A 27,978-nucleotide genomic window follows, 5' to 3' on the forward strand; every position below is an offset into this window, starting at 1 on the left:
GCTCAGGTGATCCTCCCACCGCAGCCTCCCAAGTAGCTGGGACTACAGGCATATGTCACCATGCCCAGCTAATTTTTGTATTTTTTGCAGAGATGGCGTTTCACCATGTTGCCCAGACTGGTCTTGAACTCCTGGGCTCAAGTGTTCTACCTGCCTCGGCCTCCAAAAGTACTTAGATTACAGGCATGAACCACCACACCTGGCCCTAGAACTTCTTTTACTAAGTAGTCAAGGATTCTAGGGCCCTATCATTAGGATGACCTATGTCACAGCTAGGTGTTAAAAAATGAACTGGGTCAATCAAATTCCCTCTCTCTGGAATTCAACTAGAAATATGAAAACTATACAAACTGAGTCATGACAATGGTGGGAGATTACAATGGATAATTAGTAACTTCCACTGTTCAAATCCCTGCAGCTTGCCACACACCCTAGTACAGCCTCCATGATACCTGGTTATATTATAGCTCCTGTTCTTGGACTCCCCTTGTTACTCATAACCACACCCCTGATTTGAGGTAGCACAAAAGAACTTATCCTTGCAGTCAAATAACTCAACTACCAAGCAGTTCACCCATGTCCAGAAATAGTGTGGCATCATCCACGAGGCAGAATTCCATGGTTAAGTTATGGCTAAAGGGCAGCTCAGACCTACAGCCCCAGTCTAAACCACCTCTTTGGAAATACTCCAGCTATGTGAGTATGACAAACAGAATACAAAGGCTCAGGAAAAAGCCAAGGACCACTTTCGTTTTCAAATGTTAAAATGTACCTTGGGTCATATAGCTTAAGATGCTAATTTTAATATAAAATCCAGCCTTGTAAATAACAGCATTATCTATCAGATTATATAGCTTAAACCTGTCCTCCTTTTCCACCAATCATACAGAGGAGCAAAACAAATAAAAATAACTTTATTATCCACCAGGTAAAATAGTATAAACTATTGGTCTGTCAGGTTCAAGTCTGTCTAACAAAAGCTGTGTGTTCTTATGAAAAGATACTTCACCTCTTTCAGTCTCAGTTTAAAATAAAGGTTGCACTAGAATGAGATAATCTTTAAGGAACTTTCCACCTCTAAAATGTGGTGGGTTCTATTCTCTGATCAAGTAATGAACTCATCATTTGCCAGGATACAATTCATTCATCTAATAGATACCTGAAGGTCATTGAGCCAAGTATGCAAAGTACTTGGTATTGAGCAGTGAACAAAATATAAAAAAATTCCCTGCACTCATAAAACTTACATTGCAGTCTGGAAAAAAAGTCAGAAAAACACATCTAATTTTTCAGGTCATAATAAGCATTTTAAAGAAAAATAAAATGAGGGTAAAAAAGAAATAAATTGGCCAGGCACGGTGACTTACATCTGTAATCCCAGCATTTTGGGAGGCCAAGGCAGGAGGATTGCTTGAAGCCAAGAGTTCAAGACCAGCCTGGACCCCATCTCTACTAACTAAATAAGTAAGTAGACAGAAAATGCGAGTAAGAGGAATACAGAAAAAGAGGATACAGGGGCTAGACATTTGAGCAGTGTCTAAGTGAGAAAGTGCTCCATTTAGAAATGTGGGGGAAGGCCTGGTGTGGTGGCTCACGACTGTAAATCTAGCACTTTGGGAGACCGAGGCAGGTGGATCACCTGAGGTCAAGAGTTCACGACCAGCCTGGGCAATATGGTGAGACCCCCATCTCTACTAAAAAATCCTAAAAATCAGCCAGGTGTGGTAGCACACAGCTGTAATCCCAGCTACTTGGGAGGCTGAGGCATGAGAATAGCTTGAGCCTAGGAGGTGGAGGTTGCAGTAGGCCAAGACTGTGCCATTGCACTCCAGCCTGGGCAACAAAGCGAGACTCTGTCTCAAAATGAACAAACAAAAAAGAAATGGGGGAAGAGGGCTTCAGAAAAAAGGAAGTACTAAGGCCCCCCAGAGGCCTCAGTTGTCTTGTCCAAAGAATAGCAAAGTAGTCAGTGTGGCCATAGTGGGTAAGGGAGAGAATGATAGGAGCTAATGTTAGAAAACACCCAAAATTCAACAGATGAGACCTAAGAGGAAAAGACTTAAAACACTTCAAGTACAAGACTCATACCAATGTGGCCCCTGGGTTCTTCAGGGGTGCACTATACACCAAACACAGAAGCAAAAAGGTAAGTTCACAACCACAATGTACCATTTATCTGACTTGAAACTAAGCACAACATTTGATACAGATGTCCAAATTAGCTAAAACTTCATACAGAAAATTGCTTTGGGAAGCCATATAATAGCAAATCTGGAGTCATTAATATTTTCATTTATTTTAACTGTGGTTAAGTAACCTTCACAAAATTTATCCTACAGAAAATAATCTGAAAGAGAAGGCCATGTACAAAAATATACCAAGAGAAGCATTACTTCTAATAACCCTTCAGAAGTATCCAATCTTTTGGCTTCCCTGGGCCACACTTGAAGAAGAATTGTCTTGGGCCACACATACAGTATAGTAACACTGATAGCTGATAGGCTAAAAAGAAATGGCAAAAATAAAAAACATAATGTTTTAAGAAAGTATACAAATTTTTCCTGAGCTGCATGTGGCCTGTGGGCAACAGATTGGATAAGCTTGGCCTAGATGACCAAAAAGCAAGTCAGTTATGGTACAAACTCCTTGAAAGGTGGCCTCTTTAAAAATATGAAAATTGGTAACTAATTAAACTGAAGAGCTTCTGCATAGCAAAAGAAACTATCAAAAGAGTGAACAGACAACCTACAGAGTGAGAGAAAATTTTTGCAAACTATGCATTTGACAAAGGTCTAATATCCAGCATCTGTAAGGAACTTCAACAAATTTATAAGAAAAAAATAAATAGTTTCATTAAAAAGTGGGCAAAGGACATGAACAGACACTTTTCATAAGACACACATGCAGCCAACAAACATGAAAAAAAGCTCAATATCGCTGATCATTAGAGAAATGCAAATCAAAATCACAATAAGATACCACCTCACACTAGTCAGAATGGCTTACTAAAAAGTCAAAAAATAACAGGTGCTGGTGAGGTTGCACAGAAAAAGGAACGCTTATACACTGCTGGTGGGAGTGTAAATTAGTTCAGCCATTGTGGAAAACAGTGTGGCAATTCCTCAAAGACCTAAAAACAACTACCATTTGAGCCAGCAAACCCATTACTGGGTATATACTCAAAGGAACATAAATCGTTCTATCATAAAGACACATGCACATGTGTGTTCACTGCAGCACTATTCACAATAGCAAAGACATGGAATCAACCTAAATGCCTATCAATGGTAGACTGGATAAAGAAAACGTGGTACATATATACCATGGAATAGTACGCAATCATTAAAAAGAACAAGATTATGTCCTTTGCAGGAACACAGATGGAGCTGGAGGCTATTATCCTTAGCAAAGTAGTGAACAGAAAACCAAATACCACATGTTCTCACTTATACATGGGAGCTAAATGATGAGAACACATGGACACATAGAGGGGAACAACAGACACAATAGACACTGGGGCCTATCGGAGGGTGGAGGGTGGGAGGAGGGAGAGGATCAGGAAAAATAACTAATGGGCACTAGGCTTAATACCTGGGTGACCAAATAATCTGTATAACAAACCCCTATGACCTACATAACAAAAAGACTGGAAGGAGATAGAAAAATGATGGTTGGTTCTGCTGGGATGGTTCTGCTGTTCTGTTGGGATTATTCTTATTGTTTATAAAATAACATGTTCAAAGAGAACCAGATTGCTTTGTTCTGGTTCTACTACTTCATTATAATACCAAGGTCTACAATTAGAATAACAATAGAAAATACTGGGATCATATAACTGACAAGAGGGCCTTCATATCTACTCTCTCTGGGAGACTAGATCAATTTAGGAGAAAAAAAATCCTTCAAGGCTCTTTCATTTTTCTTCTACCTCACAACATCCCTGTTGCGCATGGTAGCTCACGCCTGTAATCCCAACACTTTGGGAGGCTGAAGTGAGAGCATCGCTTGAGCCCAGGAGTTTGAGAACAGCCCAGGCAACAGAGCAAGACTCTGTCTCCACAAAAAATAAAAATAAAAAATAAGCCAGGCATGGTAGTGAGTGCAGCTACTTAGGAGGCTAAGGCAGGAGGACTGCTTGAGCCCTGGAAGTCAAGGCTGCAGTGAGCCATGATTGTACTACTGCACTCTAGCCTGGGTGACAGAGTGTGGCCCTGTCTCCAAACAAACAAACAAAAAACAAATTACAGCCACACTTCCTTCATTTCTCCAAAGGCACTGAAGCCTTTTTTTCATACTTAGTTCTCCCTGCATGATAGTCCTCTGCTTGGAATTTGCTTCCCTACATGTTCTAGCTAACTCCTCAATTTTCAGGTCTGCTTAAATGCCATTTTCTCAAACAAGCTCTCTCCATACTCCCAATCTAAACTGATGCCCCCTTTTTAGAGTCTCTACTGCACTCTATTTTTCCTTCAGAGAACTTATCAGTTTGTAATCATGTTTACTTTTGTGACTATCTGATTAATTTCTTATCTCCCCCATAGGACTATAAGTTTGTGAGGTCCAGGACCAAGTCATGAAAACAAACATTGTGACTTTTATGCCTTCCTTCGCCTTCCATGGTCTCAGTGGTGTTCTAAGGGCAACCATTTCCTTACTTGTGGTCCACAGACAAACTGATCCATAAGGCTCTGTATATCCTCAATGGGTCATTAAATGTCTTAATGGCCCTTGTGCTGAAAGAGCTGAAGTCTGCATGGCCTCCCACTCTGCTAGCTCAAAAACATGCAACGAGACAGTCCATGTATCTGGCCACCTGGCCATTCTTTCCCTATGTGGCTTTTTTTTTTTTTTTTGCCACCAACTGAGGTCTATCTATGTGGATTTTAAGCTCTTAACAATCCACTGAAAATGGTCATGCTTTTACAAACCCTACTTCAAATCTGCACCAAGGTAAACTTGCTGCATGAACAGATGATTCTATTTCACTATGTATACACTATCTGAGAAAGGCTAAAGGGCTGAATAGTGGATGGTTCATGTTTTCCTTTCTAGTTACACACAAGCCTAATACAGCTAAACAAACTTTACCTAATGGCCAATGTGAGGTGACCTAAGAAAAATTATTATCAGCAAGAGGGGGTATTATTAAGAAGGCATTGAACAGTTTGAGGTGAACAATGTAGATATTCTTAACATTGGAATAACATCAAATATCTTTAGGCTCTGCCCAAATAGGTCATCAACCTTCAGACTTTAGCTGAGAGCAAAACACAACAGGAGCCAATAGTCTAATAATTATTTCTCTTCCCTGACCCCAATCACCAAGAAGGCAATCTGCTCTCTGAGGATGCAAGCCTGAGGACCAGAATCAGGAGATTAGATTCTCTTCTTGGCATAGCTCTCACTGGTCCATCTCAACACCTAACCTCAGCTATAAAATGAGGGCACCAGCACTAATGTACTATAGTTCTATATTTAATGCTGTTATTTTGGAGTGTACCAAGAGCTATCTATGGAGGCTGTAGAGGTGCTAAACTCCGTACTGCTCTGACCAACCCTAACATTCTCTTCAATTCTCAGTTAACAATTTAAGTAGGATGTTGTAAAATATGGCATATACACGAAGAAGGCAGAAAAGAAGAATGCTGATCCAGCAACTATTAGACATAACATATAAGTGAGAAAATAAAAATATTTAGCTTGGAAAGAGAAACTGATAGTCCTTTAAGTACCTAGAGTTAGATGTCACAATGATGACTTATTCTGTCTTACTTTATAAGACATCGTTGACTAAGGAGTAAAGATTGCAGGGAAGCATTTGACACAATAGAGGGAAACATGTAATAACTAACTAGGGCTACAAATATAAAGACTTCTGAAATAAACTGCCTCCCTTGTCACCGGATGTCTCAAAGCAAAATGAGCAATTCTGTGGGCCATTTTGGAGCAGGAGTCAACATACGTTTTCTGTAAAGAGATGTGTGTGCCACATATAATTCCTTAAAGATGTAAAAAAAATCCTTAAGCTCACAGGTCATACAAAAACAGGTAGTTTGTTGACCCTTGTTCTAGAGAAGCACTGTCTAACAGAAATGTAATATGACTCACATATGTAATTAAAATTTTTCCAGTATCTGTATTTTAAAAGGTAAAAAGAAACAAGTGAAGTTAATTTTAATATCTTATTTAATCCAATATCTCCATAAAGTTATTTTAACATGCAAACAAAATTATTAATGAGATTCTCTACATTTAAAACAAAACTAAGCCTTTAAAATGCAGTGTATATTTACACGTAAAACCATATCTCAAGTCAAACTAGTCACATTTCAAGTGCTCATTAGCTACATACTGCAGCAAGTAGTTCTAGATAAACTGTGCATTTCTTGAGAAACAGAAGAGATGACCTCCCAATCAATATTCAATTCTAAGAACGCAAATCGATGAGGAAAAAATTGGACTAGCCAGCCTATAAACAAAACTGGGGGATCTGTCAAGCTACCTGAAAAAATAAAGCTGGATCCTTTCTCATGCCTTACTCCAATATAAATTCCAGACCAAAACAAGATGTCAATGTCAAAAGTAAAGTAATACAAGCAACAACAACAAAAAGAAAACAACATGTGTAGTATTTTCTTATTGTCTTGCAGCGGGAAAAATCTTTTAAGGCATGTCATAAATATTCAGAAAACACAAAGAAGACATTAATAAATTTACCTATATAAAAATTTATGTTAGTACTACAAAAAAACATTAAAGAGGGTCAAAAAGTAAATGACAAATGGGGGAAGGTTAAGAAGGTTAACAAGGATATCCAGGACTTAAACTCGGCTCTGCACCAAGCAGAACTAATAGACGTCTACAGAACTCTCCACCCCAAATCAACAGAACATACGTTCTTGTCAGCGCCACATCACACTCATTCCAAAATTGACAACATAGTTGGAAGTAAAGCACTCCTCAGCAAATGTGAAAGAACAGAAATCACAATAAACTGTCTCTCAGACCACAGTGCAATCAAATTAGAACTCAGGATTAAGAAACTCACTCAAAACCACACAACTACATGAAAACTGAACAACCTGCTCCTGAATGACTATTGGGTAAATAACGAAATGAAGGCAGAAATAAAGACGTTCTTTGAAACCAATGAGAACAAAGACACAATGTACCAGAATCTCTGGGACACATTTAAAGCAGTCTGTAGAGGGAAATTTGTAGCACTAAATGCCCCCAAGAGAAAGCAGGAAAGATCTAAAATCAACACCCTAACATCACAATTAAAAGAACTAGAGAAGCAAGAGCAAACAAATTCAAAAGCTAGCAGAAGGCAAGAAATAACTAAGATCAGAGCAGAACTAAAGGAGATAGAGACACAAAAAACCCTTCAAAAAAATCAATGAATCCAGGAGCTGGTTTTCTGAAAAGATCAACAAAATTGATAGACTGCTAGCAAGACTAATAAAGAAGAAAAGAGAGAAGAATCAAATAGACGCAATAAAAAATGATAAAGGGGATATCACCACCGATCCCACAGAAATACAAACTACCATCAAAGAATACTATAAACACCTCTACACAAATAAACTAGAAAATGTAGAAGAAATGGGTAAATTCCTGGACACATACACCCTCCCAAGACTAAACCAGGAAGAAGCTGAATCTCTGAATACACCAATAACAGGCTCTGAAATTGAGGCAATAATTAATAGCCTACCAAAAAAAGTCCAGGACCAGATGGATTCACAGCCAAATTCTACCAGAGGTACAAAGAAGAGCTGGTACCATTCCTTCTAAAACGATTCCAATCAATAGAAAAAGAGGGAATCCTCCCTAACTCATTTTATGAGGACAGCATCATCCTGATACCAAAGCCTGGCAGAGACACAACAAAAAAAGAGAATTTTAGACCAATATCCCTGACGAATATGGATGCGAAAATCCTCAATAAAATACTGGCAAACTGAATCCAGCAGCACATGAAAAAGCTTATCCACCATGATCAAGTTGGCTTCATCCCTGGGATGCAAAGCTGGTTCAACATTGCAAATCAATAAACATAATCCATCACATAAACAGAACCAACAACAACAAAAAAACCACGATTATCTCAATAGATGCAGGAAAGGCCTTTGACAAAATTCAGCAGCCCTTCATGCTAAAAACTCTCAATAAATTAGGTATTGATGGAACATATCTCAAAATAATAAGAGCTATTTACGACAAACCCACAGCCAATATCATACTGAATGGGAAAAACTGGAAGCATTCCCTTTGAAAACTGGCACAAGACAAGAATGCCCTCTCTCACCACTCCTATTCAACATAGTGTTAGAAGTTCTGGCCAGGGCAATCAGGCAAGAGAAAGAAATAAAGGGTATTCAATTAGGAAAAGAGGAAGTCAAATTGTCCCTGTTTGCAGATGACATCATTGTATATTTAGAAAACCCCATCATCTCAGCCCAAAATCTCCTTAAGCTGATAAGCAACTTCAGCAAAGTCTCAGGATACAAAATCAATATGCAAAAATCACAAGCGTTCCTATATACCAATATCAGACAAACAGCCAAATCATGAGTGAACTCCCATTCACAACTGCTTCAAAGAGAATAAAATACCTAGGAATCCAACTTACAAGGGATGTGAAGGACCTCTTCAAGGAGAACTACAAACCACTGCTCAATGAAATAAAAGAGGATACAAACAAATGGAAGAACATTCCATACTCATGGATAGGAAGAATCAATATTGTGAAAATGGCCATACTGCCCAAGGTAATTTATAGATTCAGTGCCATCCCCATCAAGCTACCAATGACTTTCTTCACAGAATTGGAAAAAACTACTTTAAAGTTCATATGGAAACAAAAAAGAGCCCGCATTGCCAAGACAATTCTAGGCAACAAGAACAAAGCTGGAGGCATCATGCTACCTGACTTCAAACTATACTACAAGGCTACAGTAACCAAAACAGCATGGTACTGGGACCAAAACAGATATATAGACCAATGGAATAGAACAGAGGCCTCAGAAACAACACCACACATCTACAACCATCTGATCTTTGACAAACCTGACAAAAACAAAAAATGGGGAAAGGATTCCCTATTTAATAAATGGTGCTGGGAAAACTGGCTAGCCATATGTAGAAAGCTGAAACTGGATCCCTTCCTTACAACTTATACAAAAATTAATTCAAGATGGATTAAAGACTTAAATGTTAGACCTAAAACCATAAAAACCCTAGGAGAAAACCTAGGAAATACCATTCAGGACATAGGCATGGGCAAGGACGTCATGACTAAAACACCAAAAGCAATGGCAACAAAAGCCAAAATAGACAAATCAGATCTAATTAAACTAAAGAGCTTCTGCACAGCAAAAGAAACTACCATCAGAGTGAGCAGGTAACCTACAGAATAGGAGAAAATTTTTGCAATCTGTCCATCTGACAAAGGGCTCATATCCAGAATCTACAAAGAACTTAAACAAATTTACAAGAGAAAAACAACCCCAATAAAAAGTGGGCAAAGGATATGAATACGCACTTCTCAAAAGAAGACATTTATGCAGCCAACAGACACATGAAAAAATGCTCATCATCGCTGGTCATCAGAGAAATGCAAATCAAAACCACAATGAGATACCATCTCACGCCAGTTAGAATGGCAATCATTAAAATGTCAGGAAACAACAGATGCTGGAGAGGATGTGGAGAAATAGGAATGCTTTTATACTGTTAGTGGGAGTGTAAACTAGTTCAACCATTGTGGAAGACAGTGTGGCAATTCCTCAAGGATCTAGAACTAGAAATACCATTTGACCCAGTGATCCCATTACTAGATAAATGCCCAAAGGATTATAAATCATGCTACTATAAAGACACATGCATACGTATGTTTATTGTGGCACTATTCACAATAGCAAAGACTTGGAGCCAACCAAAATGTCCATCAATGATAGACTGGATTAAGAAAATGTGGCACATATACACCATGGAATACTATGTAGCCATAAAAAAGGATGAGTTCATGTCCTTTGTAGGGACATGGATGCAGCTGGAAACCATCATTCTGAGCAAACTATCACGAGGATAGAAAACCAAACACTGCATGTTCTCACTCATAGGTGGGAATTGAACAATGAGAACACTTGGACACAGGGCAGGGAACATCACATCCAGGGGCCTGTCATGGGGTGGGGGGCAGGGGGAGGGATAGCATTAGGAGAAATACCTATTGTAAATGATGAGTTAATGGGTGCAGCAAACCAACATGGCACATGTATACCTATGTAACAAACCTTCACATTATGCACATGTACCCTAGAACTTAAAGTATAATAATAAAAAAAAAACTTCAAATTAAGACCTCAAACTATGAAACTACTAAAAGAAATACTAAGACAAACAAACAAACAAACAAAAACACTGGGGAAAATCTCCAAGACATTGGTCTGGGCACAAAGATTTCTTGAGTAATACCCCACAAGCAAAGGCAACCAAAGCAAAATGGACAAATGGGATCACATCAAGTTAAAAAGCTTCTGCACAGCAAAGGAAACAGTCAACAAAGTGAAGAGACAACCCACAGAATGGGAGAAAATAGTTACAAACTGTCAATCTAACAAGGGATTAATAACAATATATAAAGAGCTCAAACAACTCAATAGGAAAAAAAACTAATAATCTGATTTAAAAACGGGCAAAAGAGAGTTTCTAAGGATCATGTCTGAGAGTGAGTATTTCTTCTTTTTTTTTCTAAGGCGGAGTCTTGCTCTGTCACCCAGGCTGGAGTGCAGTGGCATGATCTCGGCTCACTGTAAACTCTGCCCCCCAGATTCAAGTGATTCTCCTGCCTCAGCCTCCTGAGTAGCTGGGATTACAGGCATGGGCTACCACGCCCAGCTAATTTTTGTATTTTTAGTAGAGATGGGGTTTCACCATGTTGGCCAGGCTGGTCTCGAACTCCTGACCTCGTGATCTGCCCGCCTCAGCCTCTCAAAGTGCTGGGATTATAAGCGTGAGCCACCGCGCCCGGCCAAGAGTGAGTATTTCTGATCCAGAGACAATGGTCCCGATGAGATGGAGCCTGAAGGCATCATTGAGAGAAACTGAAATGAGATTGTTGACAGTTTTGATGATATGAACCTCTTGGAATCCCTCCTCCATGGCATCTATGCCTATGGTTTTGAGAAGTCCTCTGCCATCCAGCAGCGAGCCATTCTTCTTGTATCAAGGATTATGATGTGATCACTCAAGCCCTATCTGGGACTGGGAAAATGGCCACTTTTGCCATATCAATTCTGCAGTAGATTGAATTAGATCTAAAGGCTACCCACACCTTGGTCCCAGCATCCACTTGATAATTGGCTCAAAAGATAGAAAAGGTGGTCATGACACTAGGAGACTACATGGGTGCCTCCTGTCATGGCTGTATTGGGGGCACCAACGTGCATGCTGAGGTGCAGAAACTACAGATGGAAGTTCCCCATATCATCGTGGGTACCCCTGGCCATATATCTGATATGCTTAACCAGAGATACCTGTCTCCCAAATACATCAAGATGTTTGTACTGGACGAAGCTGATGAAATGTTAAGCCATGGATTCAAGGACTCAATCTATGACATATTCCAAAAGCTCAACAGCAACACCCAGGTGGTTTTGCTATCAGCCACAAGGCCTTCTGATGTGCTTGAGGTGACCAAGAAGTTCATAAGGGACCCCATTTGGATTCCTGTCAAGAAGGAAGAGTTGACCCTGGAGGGGGTCCACCAATTCTACATCAATGTGGAACATGAGGAGTGGAAACTGAGCACACTGTGTGGCTTGTATGAAACCCTGATTGTCACCCTAGGCAGTCATCTTCATCAATACTGGAAAGAAGGTGGATTGGCTCGGCTGGGTGCAGTGGCTCACGCCTGTAATCCCAGCACTTTGGGAGGCCAAGGTGGGCGGATCACAAGGTCAGGAGAGCCAGACCATCCTGGCTTACATGGTGAAACCCCATCTCTACTAAAAATACAAAAAGAAATTAGCCGGGCATGGTGGCAAGTGCCTGTAGTCCCAGCTACTGGGAGGCTGAGGCAGGAGAATGGCATGAACCCGGGAGGAGGAGCTTGCAGTGAGCCGAGATCGCACAACTGCACTCCAGCCTGGGTGACAGAGCAAGACTCTGTCTCAAAAAAAAAAAGAAGAAAGTGGATTGGCTCACTGAGAAGATGCATGCTTGGGACTTCACTGTCTCTGCCATGCATGGAGATATGGAACAAAAGAATGAAATGTGATCATGAGGGAGTTTTGTTCTGGCTCTCACAGAGTATTGATTACCACTGACCCGCAGCCAGAGGCATTCATGTGCAGCAGGTTTCTTCAGTTATCAACTGTGACCTTCCCACCTGTATCCACAGAATTGGTCGAGGTGGATGGTTTGGCCATAAGGGTGTGGCTATTAACATGGTAACAGAAGAAGACAAGAGGACTCTTTAAGAAACTGAGACCTTATACAACACCTCCATTGAGGTGATGGCCCTCAATGTTGCTGACCTCATCTGAGGGGCTATCCTGCTACCTAGCCCCAGCCAGGATTCATTCTTGGGAAACTGAGGAGCAGCAGGAGGCGGAAGGAAAGAGAGCCAAGGGATGGACATCTTGTAATTTTTTTCCTTGAATAAACGTCACTTTTTGAGGCAAAAAAAAAAAAAAAAGGGAGGGTGAAAGATCTGAATAGGCATTTCTCAAAAGACAATATACAAATGGCAAACAGATATATGAAAAGGTGCTCAATATTACTGATTGTCAGCGAAAGGCAAATCAAAACTACAATGTGATATCATCTCACCACAGTTAAAATGGTTTTTATCCAAAAGACAGGCTATAAGAAATGCTGGTGAGGATGTGGAGAAAAGGGAACACTTGTACGCTGTTGGTGAGAATATAAATTAGTATAGCCACTATGGAGAACAGCATGGAGGTTCCTCAAAAAACTAAAAATAGAGCTACCATATGATCCATCAATCATACTGCTAGGTATATATAACCAAAAGAAAGGAAATCAGTATATCAAAGAGATACCTGTACTCCCATGTTTGTTGCAGCACTATTCACAATAGCCAGGATTTGGAAACAACCTTTATCCATTCATCAACAGACGAATGGATAAAGAATATGTGGTATGTGACCAGGCACGGTGGCTCACGCCTGTAATTCCAGCACTCTGGGAGGCCGAGGCAGGTGGATCACCTGAGGTTGGGAGTTCGAGACCAGCCTGACCAACATGAAGAAACCCCATCTCTACTAAAAATGCAAAATTAGCCAGGCATGATGGCACAGGCCTGTAATCCCAGCTACTCGGGAGGCTGAGGCAGGAGAATCTCTTGAATCCCAGAGGTGGAGGTTGAAGTGAGCCAAGATTGTGCCATTGCACTCCAGCTTAGACAACAAGAGTGAAACTCCATCTCACACACACACATAAAAAAAAAAAAAAAAAAGAATATGTGGTACATATACACAGTGGAGTAGTATTCAGCCACGAAAAAAAAGAGTCCTGTCATCTGCAACAACATGGATGGAACTGGAGGACATTATGATAAGAAAAATAAGCCAGGCACAGAAAGACAAACTTCCCATTGTCTCATGCATTTGTGAGAACTAAAAATCCAAACAATTGAACTCATGATGACAGAAAATAGAATGATGTAAGTTACCAGAGGCTGGAAAGAAGGTGGGGGTGGGTGGGTAAAAGTGGGCATGGTTAATAGGTACAAAAACATAATTAGATGGAATGAATAAGATCTTGTCTTTGATAGTACAACAGGGTGACTACAATCAACAATAATCTACTGTATATTTTTAAATAACTAAAGTATAATTGGAATGTTTATAACACAAAGAAATGATAAATGCTTGAGGTGATGAATACCCCATTTACCCTGATGTGATTATTACATACTGTATGCCTATATCAAAATATCTCAGCTGGGCATGGTGGCTCACACCTGTAATCCCAGCACTTTGGGAGGCCAAGGCAGGAGGATCATGAGGTCAGGAGTTCAAGACCAGCCTGGCCAATATGGTGAAAACCTGTCTCTACTAAAATTACAAAAATTAGCCGGGTATGGTGGCACAAGCCTGTAGTCCCAGCTACTCAGGAGGCTGAGGCAGGAGAATTGCTTGAACCCGGGAGGTGGAGGTTGCAGAAGCCGAGATCACACCATTGCACTCCAGCCTGGGCAACAGAGTGAGACTCTGTCTCAAAAAAAAAAAAAAAAATCAAGCTACCAATGACTTTCTTCACAGAATTGGAAAAAACTACTTTAAAGTTCATATGGAACCAAAAAAGAGCCCACATCGCCAAGTCAATCCAAAGCCAAAAGAACAAAGCTGGAGGCATCACACTACCTGACTTCAAACTATACTACAAGGCTACAGTAACCAAAACAGCATGGTACTGGGACCAAAACAGAGATATAGATCAATGGAACAGAACAGAGGCCTCAGAAATAATGCCGCATATCTACAACTATCTGATCTTACAAACCTGACAAAAACAAGCAAGGGGGAAAGGATTCCCTATTTAATAAATGGTGCTGGGAAAACTGGCTAGCCATATGTAGAAAGCTGAAACTGGATCCCTTCCTTACACCTTATACAAAAATTAATTCAAGATGGATTAAAGACTTAAACATCAGACCTAAAACCATAAAAACCCTAGAAGAAAACCTAGGCATTACCATTCAGGACATAGGCATGGGCAAGGACTTCATGTCTAAAACAGCAAAAGCAATGGCAACAAAAGCCAAAATTGACAAATGGGATCTAATTAAACTAAAGAGCTTCTGCACAGCAAAAGAAACTACCATCAGAGTGAACAGGCAACCTACAAAATGGGAGAAAATTTTTGCAACCTACTCATCTGACAAAGGGCTAATATCCAGAATCTACAATGAACTCAAACAAATTTACAAGAAAAAAACAAACAACCCCATCAAAAAGTGGGCGAAGGACATGAACAGACACTTCTCAAAAGAAGACATTTATGCAGCCAAAAAACACATGAAAAAATGCTCACCATCACTGGCCATCAGAGAAATGCAAATCAAAACCACAATGAGATACCATCTCACACCAGTTAGAATGGCAATCATTAAAAAGTCAGGAAACAACAGGTGCTGGAGAGGATGTGGAGAAATAGGAACACTTTTACACTGTTGGTGGGACTGTAAACTAGTTCAACCATTGTGGAAGTCAGTGTGGCGATTCCTCAGGGATCTAGAACTAGAAATACCATTTGACCCAGCCATCCCATTACTGGGTATATACCCAAAGGACTATAAATCATGCTGCTATAAAGACACATGCACACGTATGTTTATTGCGGCACTATTCACAATAGCAAAGACTTGGAACCAACCCAAATGTCCGACAATGATAGACTGGATTAAGAAAATGTGGCACATATACACCATGGAATACTATGCAGCCATAAAAAAGGATGAGTTCATGTCCTTTGTAGGGACATGGATGAAATTGGAAATCATCATTCTCAGCAAACTATCACAAGGACAAAAAACCAAACACTGCATGTTCTCACTCATAGGTGGGAATTGAACAATGAGAACACATGGACACAGGAAGGGGAACATCACACTCTGGGGACTGTTGTGGGGTGGGGGGATGGGGGAGGGATAGCATTAGGAGATATACCTATTGCTAAATGATGAGTTAATGGGTGCAGCACACCAGCATGGCACATGTATACATATGTAACTAACCTGCACATTGTGCACATGTACCCTAAAACTTAAAGTATAATAATAATAAAAAATAATAATAATAGTTATTGAAATAAAAATAATAACTGGAATTATTCATATGGTTATAATAAATAATTGATAAGAAAACATACCAAAAAAAAAAAGGCCGGGCATGGTGGCTCACGCCTGTAATCCCAGCACTTTGGGAGGCCAAGGCAGGCGGATCACGAGGTCAGGAGAGCGAGACCATCCTGGCTAACACGGTGAAACCCTGTCTCTACTAAAAATACAAAAAATGAGCCGGGCGTGGCGGCAGGAGCCTGTAGTCCCAGCTACTCGGGAGGCTGAGGCAGGAGAATGGCGTGAATCCAGGAGGCGGAGCTTGCAGTGAGCCGAGATCACGCCACTGCACTCCAGCCTGGGCGACAGAGTGAGACTCCGTCTCAAAAAAAAAAACAAATAAAAACAAAAAAAAAAAAAACAAAGAACAAGCAACAGCCCTCTATATTAACTTATTTTTGTGGGTTATGAAGAGAGTGAGAATTGGAGAAGTACAACTGACAATGAAACCTAACAAACCGGACATAAAAGGAAGCCACTTGCCTTCCTCAGGTTAAGCTATAATTTGATTCATTTATGAGGCACAGGAAGGACAAGTATTTTCACTTCATCTTTTTGTGCTGAGTAATATTACACAATAATACGTATCAAAAAGCCATTTTTCTGAAATGAAATGTATCCTTGAAGCATATCTACAGAATGTAACACAAACAAAACCTTTAACCCAAAACATTCTTCTATATAAATCTAGGAACACACCCAAATGAATATCACCAGTAAAGTTCCCTAGATTCTGCAGAAATGACAAACTATGAACAAAGCAATATATTTTCATGCACTCATAAATTATCAAATGAGCCTCCCCAAAAATCAGGGAAGCAAGGTCATATGGAGTGTCTTTTGCTAGTTTGCCCTCTGCTCCCAAACAGGCTAAGTCACTTAATATACAGATGTGGATAAAGATAATTTTGTACAATGCCATTCTTTAGCCACTAGGTTTCCCAGGTTTGGGGTTTACAAGATCTATAAAACCACAGGGCTATGGAATACAAATAAAATCTGACCCTAAATAATCTTTTCCTTTACCATTGCTGACATTCCTCAAAACCCTAGATCTTTCCTTTCAAAATAATGAAAATTAGCAGGAGGCTCATCCACAACAGACTTCCAGGGTCTCACTGTCAATAAAATCGGTGCCATGAAACAATCAGTGTGCTTCAGGGGAAGAGTCTCTAAGTGGAAACATAATACACAAAAGGATGATCAACATTAAAATGTTTTCCTAATTGGGGGAAAAAATTCAACAGCTATTTCAAGAGTTAAAAGGCTGCCTTTTATTGAACTGTCATGCTATCTCTCCAACAGGCAAGCAGTGGAAACATTTTAAGAGCATTACCTTTAGGAGGAAAATAAGACTTGCTTTCAGCTTTGTGAGGCCAGTCTACTACGAGAGGTCCAAACCTGCGAAAGCTGGCAGTGATCTCATCTACAAAACAAAGAAAGAATCTTAGCAAAAGAGAAAAAAATATTGCAATCAGAAAACCAGAAGAGCACAAAACATGTCTTTTTAGTTTAAAAAAATGTTTTGAGGGTTGTTTTCTATAGCATCTTTACGGAAGTGAAACCTACTAAGTGAAATACCATTGCTTGGGTGTACATTTGGTTATTCACTTTTAATCATGCAAAGTGTGTTTCTAACTATAATTCATTTCCTTTCACTGCCAATAAACTTGACATAAAGAATTTGGAAGAAAAGTATCTCATATTAAACTAAGGTGACTTCTATGTCAAATAGAAAGATTCTAAAAATAGGAATGTTCTCTGATTTTAGTAAGAAAGTAAGGTACAGAAAATATTTAAAATATGGTTTCACTTGTAGGAACCTCTAAGATTATTTAAGAAATAGATACGATTCTTTTGGTAAGGAGTAGGGGCAATAAGTAGGTAATTCTATTGGGTGATAAGAAAATGTTGATGGCCAATGTTCTCTTTAATAACTACATATTACGTACCCTATATAGAAAATATATCAAAAATTATAGATCAATACATTTATATTTTCCCTCTGACATATGACTCAAAGCAGAGGTTATAACCTGGCTCCTACTCAGGTTTAGGGTACCACTCTCTCAGCCATGATCTTAAAAATTGTCTTGAAGATAATCTAATCAATAGATGAGATTAACATGAATACAAGAACAATTTGGAGGAAAATAAGCATTCAGCTATGTATAACTTTAATGTAGTTAGTCTAAAATAAAACCACTTTTTGAGACTTTTCTCCTGTCACCATGAAAAAAGGAAATCATGATAAATTTGAAGTGTGTCATAGCTAGAAAAATGCTAGAAAAACAAGACTGTTAGAATATCAGACAGTATTTTTATATCAGACCCAAAGCCTACTGGAACTAGAGTTGTTTTTTGCTTAAGTTAACTTTGTCACAATTTTATTTCATTCATCCTTTCAACAAATATTTATTGACAACTTACCGTGTGCTAAAATAAACTGGCTTTAGGCATAAGTGAACACTCACTTTTGGACTGATAGCATCTCAAAACTATTATTAAGAAAAATTCTAATTCATCTTCATTCTTTTAAAGAGGTGGATTATGCTTTTTGTTAATAGGTATTTGTTTTTATTTATTTATTTACTTATGAGACAGGGTCTCACTCTGTCATCCAGGCTGGAGTTCAGTGGTATGATCATAGCTCACTGTAACCTCAAACTCCTGGGCTCAAGTGATCTCCCACCTCAGCCTCCCAAGTAGCTGGGAGTACAGGCACATACCACCATACCCGGCTAATCTTGTTTTGTAGAGACAGGGTCTTGCTATGTTGCCCAGGCTGGTCTTGAACCCCTGGGCTCAAGTAATCCTCCCATCTTGGCCTCCCAAAGTACTGGGATTACGGGTGTGAACCACTGCACTGGCCAGTATTTATATTAAAATGTGAGATGGTTTGGTGTGATGCACATGAGCAGAAGCTCTGGAATCTAATTGAATTTGAGTTGCAACTGCACCATCAGCTATATAACCCTGAACAAATTATTTCTCTCTGATCCTCAGTTTCCTTATCTATAAAATGGAGATGCTAGGATATCCTTATTAGATAGCTATGAGGATTAAATGAGATAATGTAACATGAAGTACTTAGTACAATAATAGACTACCACTTTCTAATCCACCAAATAGTCTCACCTCCTATGCACTAAGATATAGATGTCCTAAAGTTGACTTGGAGAGGAGAGGCAGGGTCAGAACACACAAATAACAAACTCAGCCTTTGCAAAATCATTAATGAATGCATAGTACCTTCATCAATATCAGGAGGAAGTCCTCCAACAAACACCTTTCTAGAGTAGCGTTCTACTCGTTCCCCATTTTGACAGCGAGTGGGAGAACTTAAGCCAGATGACAAGGCTTGATCACCATGGCTATCATCCAGGAAGGCATCTTCAAAGGGAAAGAGAGAAGATCGACCTGAAACAAATGTGGGAGTTTCTATAATTAAAATGATTTTCTAGGACAATAAATGCTCTATTAGAAGCCCGAAGTGCAGAGAGAAGCATACAAAAAAAAAGGTGTCCTGAGCTGTGGCTTTTCCAAGATTAACAGGACTGAATATTACCAGATAACTTTTTATCATCATTTTTGTGTAAGGGTAGGCACAGCCTTGGGATGACCAGATTGCTAACTAAAGAAAAAGAATCATCCAGGTGGGCATGGAGGCTCATGCCTGTAATCCCAGCACTTTGGGAGGCTGAGGTGGGCGCATCACCTGAGGTCAGGAGTTCGAGGCCAGCCTGGCTAACATGGCAAAACCCCGTCTCTACTAAAAATACAAAAATTAGCCGGACATGGTGGTGCATGCATGTAATCCCAGCTACTCAGGAGGCTGAGGCAGGAGAATCGCTTGAACCCGAACCCGGGAGGTGGAGGATGCAGTGAGCCAAGATCGTGCCATTGCACTCCAGCCTGAGCAACAAGAGTAAAACTCAGTCTCAAAAAAAAAAAAAAAAGCATCAAAATTTCAGTGGTTTCCTTGCTAAAAAATCACTGCATTTTACTCATTCAGTCTCTATCATAGCTACTAGGAGTATATTCAGCAGCTATGTTTTTTTCTTTCTTTAGTCATTTCTTAAAATAAATGGACAAAGTAATCTCTATCCACAGATTTTTATCTGCTCTTTATGGTAATCTCAGAGGTTTAGTTCTAAAGAGTGGTCCTGATAGCCAAGGGAATACAAAACTGGTGACAGAGGCTGATAACTTCTTTTCTAATAGTGGAACTAAAGATCATCAAGTTTTCCTTGTCATTCCAAGCTACTCTAATTTGGAAATAAACATACGCAATAATAAAGGACAGGGTAAGTAAATGAAAACACATAACTTAAGATGTGGGAGTATAAATGTGGATGTGGTTATGAAACCCTTAACCCTACTAATCTAGGCTACATTTTATATCACTCAAAAAATATACGAAAAGAAATGAAAAAAGAATTATTTTCATTAATTCTATAGCCAAATAAAGTTTGTAGAGCAAAAGTATCTACCCAATCCACATGACTATAAGAAAGATACCAGCAGTTAGAGTCAGCAGTAAATTTACCAGCAGTAAATATAACACAATAATGTCATTTGGCATTACAAAATAAAATCTAAATTTAAAATCAAATATATTTCCTGTTTGAGTCAGTGACTTCCTAGCAAAACTTTCCACTAGGTTCCACTCTAAAAATGAACCATTAGAGTACTCTAACTTTTGGGGGAAAAAAGGAAAATTCCCCTCTAAAATAAATTAATATACTCTTAAAAAAAAAAAAGAGCAGTGTCTTCCCCATTTAGTCTATACTATCTTTATTTCCCTGAAACCTAGGTTTTTGTGTCACAACAGCCAACTCTAAAACAGAATATAAATAGCCCTTAGAAAAATACTGAACATGTATTTCTTTTACAAAAAAGTTAAAGTTATTAATATAACTCTGGTTATTTTGTGAACAACCCAGGTAGTGTAAAAAAGACACTGTTTTAATGCTAGGAGTTAAATAAGAAGACCAAATAATTTTTTGTTCAGTTTTCCCCAGCTTAGCTATAAAGAAACAGAACAAAATCTGTCATCTCATGCCACCCATCTTTTTTAGCCTGGCAGCAACAAACAATAGACAGTAAATTCTCATCCCTTGATGTTTGTTTTGATCACTGGGGGTGAAAGAAATAGATTTGCAGCAACTATAGGCAAAAAGAGCTTTCCAAAGACATCCAGTGACGTTCTCCTAGAGCTGACAGGTTTGCTTTATTCCATAGCCCACACTCAGTGAATTACATGCCTACTCAGTGTCAGGCACATGCGCAAATCAGCATTTCCCAGTGAGTGTTCCCAAACCCACCTCTTACCTTCAACACTAGTAACATTAGATACTCAGAAAACGAGAGCTGGGGAAGGGGAAATGAAATAATCTGGGAAAATAATGCGTACGTTATGCTTTTCCACCTCAGAAAATAAAAGGCTACGAAAAGTTCTACAGTAAAGAAACATTAACTGGCCAGGCATGGTGGCTCATGCCCATAGTCCCAGCACTTTGGGAGGCCGAGGCAGGTGGATCACTTGAGTCCAGGAGTTCAAGACCAGCCTGGGAAACATGGTGAAACTCTGTCTCTACAAAAAATACAAAAATTAGCCGGGCATGGTGATGCACATCTGTAGTTCCAGCTACTGGGGAAGCTGAGGTGGGAGGATCGCTTGAGTCCAGGAGGTAGAGGTTGCAGTGAGCTGAGACCACATCAGTGCACACCAGCCTGGGTGACAGAGTGAGGCCCTGTCTCAAAAAAAAAACATTAACTTACTCCAGCATTACCCAGATGTTAAAGGAACCCTTTACCATACAAAACTCAGTGGAAAACACTTGAGGAAATATTCACCCATATTTCAGTGACACCGAACAAATAAGATACTTCCTTGCCAAAGGAATCACAGTCTGGTGGGGGAGACAGGCAAGTACATAAATAATTATAAAACAGAGATGTGCTAAGAGAAGACTTTACCAAGTGACACAAGAACACAACTTACTGCCCTCCTGGAGATTGGCGGGGAGAGATTTTTAGAGTATTTTCACAGGAGGGCAATTTTGAGCAGAATCTTGTCAGAGTGGGAGTTTCTGAAGTAAAGGAACAAGAAGCCACAGAGCAAGTACTGTCAAAACAGCTCTTGATCTTTCCCTCCAAAATTGCTCCTTCTCTAATATTCCCTAAAATCTCAATAAAAATGCTGATTATCCACACTGGATTCAATCCAGAAACCTAGAAATCATCCTTGACATCTCCCTTTCTCTTATACTCCACGTCAAATCCATCTCTCACTAAATCCTGCCAATTCAAGCAGAGTAAATAGTCTGTTTAGTCTACTGACTTCTACCTCGTACCCCACAATGCTTTCTCCACAAAACAGCCAAAGGTACCATTTTCAAACATTAATTTGAACATGTAAGCACACTCCTCACCCCATCCTTGAAAGCCCTCAATGATTTCCCATTACTTTTTGGATAAAGTACAAAAACATAACTGTGAACTGCAAGGCCTCTGCACACCCCTTCTACGTCACAGTTGCTGCCTCTCCTTCTTGCTCACTAACTGCCAATCACACAGACCTCCTTCGTATTTTCGATTATTCCTCCTTGCTGCTAGCCATAAGGACAATGTGTTCCCTCTACCTAAAACAAACATACCCTTTTCAACTCTCCAATTTCCTAATTAATTCCTATTAATTCTTCAGGTCTCAGCTGAAAAGTCTTCCTCAGGTTGAACTTTCCTAAGCCTTTAGATTAGGTTAGATTCCCTTTTCTATCCACACACAGCCCCCTGTATTCTTCCTTCCTAACACTTTCCCCAAGGACCATTATACCATTTGGGTGCGTTTTTATTGAGTATCTCTTTCCCTAACCCTATTAAATTGTAAACTCTATTAGGATGGGACCAATTTAATCTTGTTCACCACTGTATCTTCCTGCCCTAATTAGGTCACATAAAAGGCACACCAAAAATGTTAAATGTGAGGCAGCATCCAGGGAAGGAAAACAGTAAGTGAAAAGGCATGTGGCTGCAAATCTATGATGAAACACAATACACAGGTGTGAGAATGGCAGAGATGTAACCATGTCCTAGAAAATTGAGACTTTTCCTATTGCTTTTATTTGGTCAGGCATTAATGTTCTATATTACAAAATGGAAAATTATTTTCCCATTTTTTGAATTTAATATTTATTCTAATACTGGCTTTTTTTTTTTTTTTTGAGACAGAGTCTCGCTCTGTCACCCAAGCTGAAGCGCAGTGGCACAATCTTGGCTCACTGCAACCTCTGCCTCCCAGGTTCAAAGGATTCTCTTGCCTCAACCTCCCCAGTAGCTGGGATTATAGGCATGTGCCACCACACCTGGCTTATTTTTCTATTTTTAGTAGAGACAAGGTTTCGCCGTGTTGGCCAGGCTGGTCTTGAACTCCTGACCTCAAGTGATCTGCCTGTCTCGGCCTCCCAACATGTTGGGATTATAGGTGTGAGCCACTGTGCCCAGCTCTAATACTGGCTTATTTTGAACGACACTAACTCCATAGAGACCATGATATTCTCACATAATCCATCTTCTGTCCTGTCAGAATGACTTCTCTAAGATACCTATGACCATGTTGTCCTCTAACCAAAATCCTACCATAACTTCTATTACTTCCAACATTTTGAACTCAGGGAGAGGGTGGATGAGGTGAGAGTCTGAAGAAATCTGTGACTGTCCAGATGAGACATGAGGAAGTCTTGAACGAGAGCAGTGAAAGAGTGAAGAAGCAGATGTGGAAGACATTCTGGCACAAAAAGAATTTTCTGCATGGCCAACATAACCACAGCTCAGAGTACTTTGGCAAAGAAAACAAAATCAAGAGTTGTAAAAATTTGGACAGTTTTATTAAGTGGTTATGGGTAATTAAGAAATTTCCCAAGGTTTTAAAACCAAACCTCTGTCTTATTATTAGTATTTAGAGTACGATAGACGTTAGCAATAAAATAAAGTTGGCCTTGGAAATGAAACTGCTAAGAACTAACACATAAATGATATTTCTCTAACTGTGGGTAATAATTAAGAATATAGGTCTGAGAACCCAACCCCCAGATCTACTAATCTGAATCTGTGGGGGTCAGGCTTGAAAATCTGTATTTGCACAAATTTCCCCAGTGATTCCTATGCTCAAGTTTAAGAATCACTGATGTGAAGATTATTTGTCTGCTACAGGCAGCCACTGAAAGAGATATTTTGTGTGAAGTATATGCAGCCCTGGGAAATATCCAAGTTCAATCAAGTTAAGGAAAGTATATTCTCAACACTGGAATGCAAAATCTATAACCTAATCATCCTTACTGTAACATGACTGCCTGAAGTGCTGGCAGAACAAAAAGTCTGCAGAAAGGATTTAAAAGACAGAATGGTAGAGTAAGAGCTTGTAGTATTTACCCAGCGCAGACCGACAGGCGATATGAGGACTTTATCATACTACGTAGGATTATTCCTCCAGGGGACAGAATGGTTCACGTGGTATTTCCAGAGCTTGAAAATAATCTATTTCCCTCTGCTCTCTCTCTCTCTTTTTTTTTTTTTAATATAGAGATGGGGTCTCACTAGGTTGCCCAGGTTGGTCTTGAACTCCTGGGCTCTAGTGATCTTCCTGCCTCAGCCTCCCAAAGTGCTGGGATTACAGGCATGAGCCACTGCTTCTGGCCCCTCTGCTCTTATTATAAGCTCCTGAAGGACTATTCCGTTAATAAATTCAGGACTCTGCAATTGTGAAGGGGTGACTCTTGAGCTAGTAGACAGTCAGCTACTGAAATTTTATTTCCATATGCAACCAGCTCCATGAGAAAACAGTGGTATTCTGATTTGTCCAGTAATCCCTTGTGAGGATGGTATTCATGCATTCATTTGATTGGCATAAATCCATCTCCAAAACAAATCATCCCTGAGAAGTCAGTAAAATTTTATTTCCTGGACATGTGTTACTAGAAACTGAAAATTTAAGAGGCTGCACCTAAATTGTGCCCCAGGAGAAGTCTTGCTTCACTAACTAGCATCTCTCTAACATATTTCTTTTTTTTAAGGGAAATATTTCCAAGACCAAAATGTGTTAAGCAAGCCACATTACTTATCAAAAAATATATTTCTATGTGAGGAGGATATAAACCTGCTTTAGAACACCATGATACTGCCACATAAAATATGTATATTCAATATTTCAATAAAAGCAGGAGAAAGGTTTCTCAAATGCTGCAAGTTGGCCATTTGGCTTTCAACCAATGGTCTGGTTCTCTGATATCTATTTCAATTACTATCTATAATTAGTTTTTGGTCCAGTAATTGGACAAATCATCTCTGAATGTGGAGATGGCTTAAAACCAAACAAGCTTGCAGGAAAAGTGCCAAATAGAAGACTTGCAAAGCATTAGTTAAGCATGGAAGGCTTGTCCAAGATAATTCCTCCCCAGAAGGCTCCCTTTCCTTCAGCAAATGATGGAAAAACAAAAGCCCATTGGCCAAGCTATGCTGTGAAAGCTGCTGGGACCTCACCTCTGAGCTCCCACCAAGGCCTCTGCCATCACTCCAGCAGCTCCAGGGTACCTCTGGCCCAGCACTTCTACTCCAAGCCTGACTCTTTTCATTTTAGTCTTGTAAGTAGCTCAGCAATCAGTCACTTTGGGGGTTTAAGAAAAAGGAATTATGAGGCATGACTCCCTCATAAAATACATACATATTCCCTAGAAGTCAAGATAGGTTCCAGCCTAGTGTCCAGTAGGTGACTTTGAACAAAAAACATTTCACTTATGGTCTCATTTGCATAATGAGAGAGTTTAACTAGATGGCAGGATTTCAGATCCCCAGGAACAGGAGAATCCCTTTTATTACACAGAAATCTTACCTAAAAATAGATTTACTTCATATTAATATCTGGTATTTCTTAGGCATCACAAACTTAATGTGTTTACAAGTGAACTTTTGATATCTACCTTAAACTTATTCTCTCCCAGTCCCATTTCAATATGTGGCATTACAATTCACCCAATCACTTCAGCCAGAATCTCAAAATCATTTTTGAGTCTTCCTTCTTATTTACCCTCCAAGGTTAATTCAGCAACCTGACACCATCTGTTAAACACTACTGTTGATCCCATTCTCCAAGATCTATCTTTAATTTGTTCACTTCTCTCCAACTCCACTGCCATCACCCTATCCTAACTATCCTCATCTCATGCCTGACATCACCTCCTAACAAGGCAACCCAATTCTCTTTTCACTTCACTCCAAACAGCAACCAGACGTGCTCTTTTAAAAACATAAATCCAATCATTTGACCTTGCTTTAAAGCTTCAAAGATTTCCTCTTGTACTTGGACCAAGTTCAAAATCCTTACCAGGAGCTAATGTCCAGCAAGATCAGATTCTCTTTCCTTCCTCCAAACTCATCTTAAGACATACTCCTCCATCACCTACCAAGCATCAGTCATTCTAGGCTTCCTCAAAGTAAGCCTTTTCTTGCCTCAAGCCTTTTTTTAAAGAAACACGACTTTTTTGAAATATAATTCTCATATCACACAATTGATCCATTTAATCCATTAGCAGTCACTCTTGGTTTTCCCCCAACCTCTCAGCCCTAGGCGACCACTAATCTCCGTTTTGTCTCAATAGATTTGTCTATTCTGGACACTTCATATAAATGGTATCATACAAATACGTGACTCTTGAGATTGGCTTCTTTCACTTAGTGTAATGTTTTCGAGGTTTATGTTGTAGCATGTATCTGTACTTTGCTTCAAGCCTTTTACAAATGCAGTTCCTTCCACCTTCCCCTTTTAAACTAGCTATCTGTCTTATAATATCTGAAATTCCCTTTAAAATATTCCCAGGGAAAAAGGGAAGAGAATATATGAAACAAAACTGGCAAAAATGCTGATAATAATTGAAGCTGATGATGGATATATTGGTGTTCATTAAACTAGTCTACATTTGTATATATTTAAAAATTCCTTAATACCAAAAAGTTTTAGATAGCTATCTCTCCATCCTTTCAGTTTGTTTAAATATCACCTCTTCAGAGGTGACCTCCCCTATTCTTTTCTGCCTAGTATTTATCACAACTGTTAAGAATAAATATATTCGTTTCACTTATTTATTGTCTCTCTCCCTACAAGAGTGACCACTGAACAGTGTCAGAGACCACATCTGGAGTCTAGTACAGTATAGGTATGCAGACACTTAATGAGTAAAATTTGGGTGGAAGGCCCAGAAAATCCCTCCTTCAGTCTTTCTTTTGGCCCCTCCCAGATTAAATTCCCAAGACAGTGAAAAACTAGTCATCTTCCCCTCACTATCATCTGTGCTCAAATTTTCCTATTACTATGAGCAGTAACATTTTCAGATATTACAACCATGAACATTCAGAAAATTCTCCGATTCACGTCCATGTTTTATTCTAGAATCATCCATACCTTTAAACAAGCAAGCTCATACAACTGGGTTTGAATTAGCAGGATGGCGTGCTTCTAGCATGGTCTCCCTGGAATAGCTGATCTCTCTTCCCTCGAGCAGGCTTTTGACAGAAATACTCAACTTTAACTCAGCACACGAGTTTGTTTGATTGGATTTTAGAACTTTTGTTATCAATTATGCAACCCATTAATATCAATATATTTTTTATGAACTAAATATATGCAGGAGTACATTTATAACAGTAACTCTAATCATTCTTTGTATTTTTTCATTTGCATTGTTAAAAGGACCTTTTATATTCTCCTTACTGCTCTATAACTAGGAAATTCTGTTAAACATCAAAAATACTAGCATGGGCTGGGTGCAGTGGCTCATGCCTATAATCCCAGCACTTTGGGAGGCCGAGGCGATCCCCTGGGGTCAGGAGTTCGAGACCAGCCTGGCCAACATGGAGAAACCCCATCTCTACTAAAAATACAAAAACTAGCCGGGCATGGTGGTGCGTGCCTGTAATCCCAGCTACTTGGGGGGCTGAGGCAGGCGAATTGCTTGAACTTGGGAGGCGGAGGCTGCAGTGAGCCAAGATTGCACCACTGCACTCAAGCCTGGGCGATGGAGTGAGACTCCATCTCAAAAAGCAAAAAACAA

The 27,978-nt window shown here is 39.6% G+C and overlaps 1 protein-coding gene and 1 pseudogene across 26 annotated transcripts in view; one reads left to right on the top strand and one right to left on the bottom strand.

Annotated features, from left to right (window-relative positions):
- Nucleotides 1–27,978, bottom strand: part of CPEB3 (cytoplasmic polyadenylation element binding protein 3) — a 244,542-nt gene that overhangs the window by 79,127 nt on the left and 137,437 nt on the right. For 22 of the 26 annotated variants that reach the window (XM_047424810.1, XM_024447895.2, XM_011539517.3 and 19 more), the window contains 2 exons: nucleotides 19,127–19,294; nucleotides 17,211–17,300 (listed from right to left, as the gene is read on the bottom strand). The exons of 3 other annotated variants lie outside the window; for them this stretch is intronic. In XM_047424810.1, coding sequence (XP_047280766.1) covers nucleotides 17,211–17,300; nucleotides 19,127–19,294 — 258 coding nt within the window. The remainder of the gene's footprint in view (nucleotides 1–17,210; nucleotides 17,301–19,126; nucleotides 19,295–27,978) is intronic. One more of the 26 variants, NM_014912.5, reaches the window with a different exon arrangement.
- EIF4A1P8 (eukaryotic translation initiation factor 4A1 pseudogene 8) lies at nucleotides 11,043–12,697 on the top strand (annotated as a pseudogene).

This window comes from Homo sapiens, chromosome 10, assembly GCF_000001405.40.
Source record: "Homo sapiens chromosome 10, GRCh38.p14 Primary Assembly".
Lineage (NCBI taxonomy): Eukaryota > Metazoa > Chordata > Mammalia > Primates > Hominidae > Homo > Homo sapiens.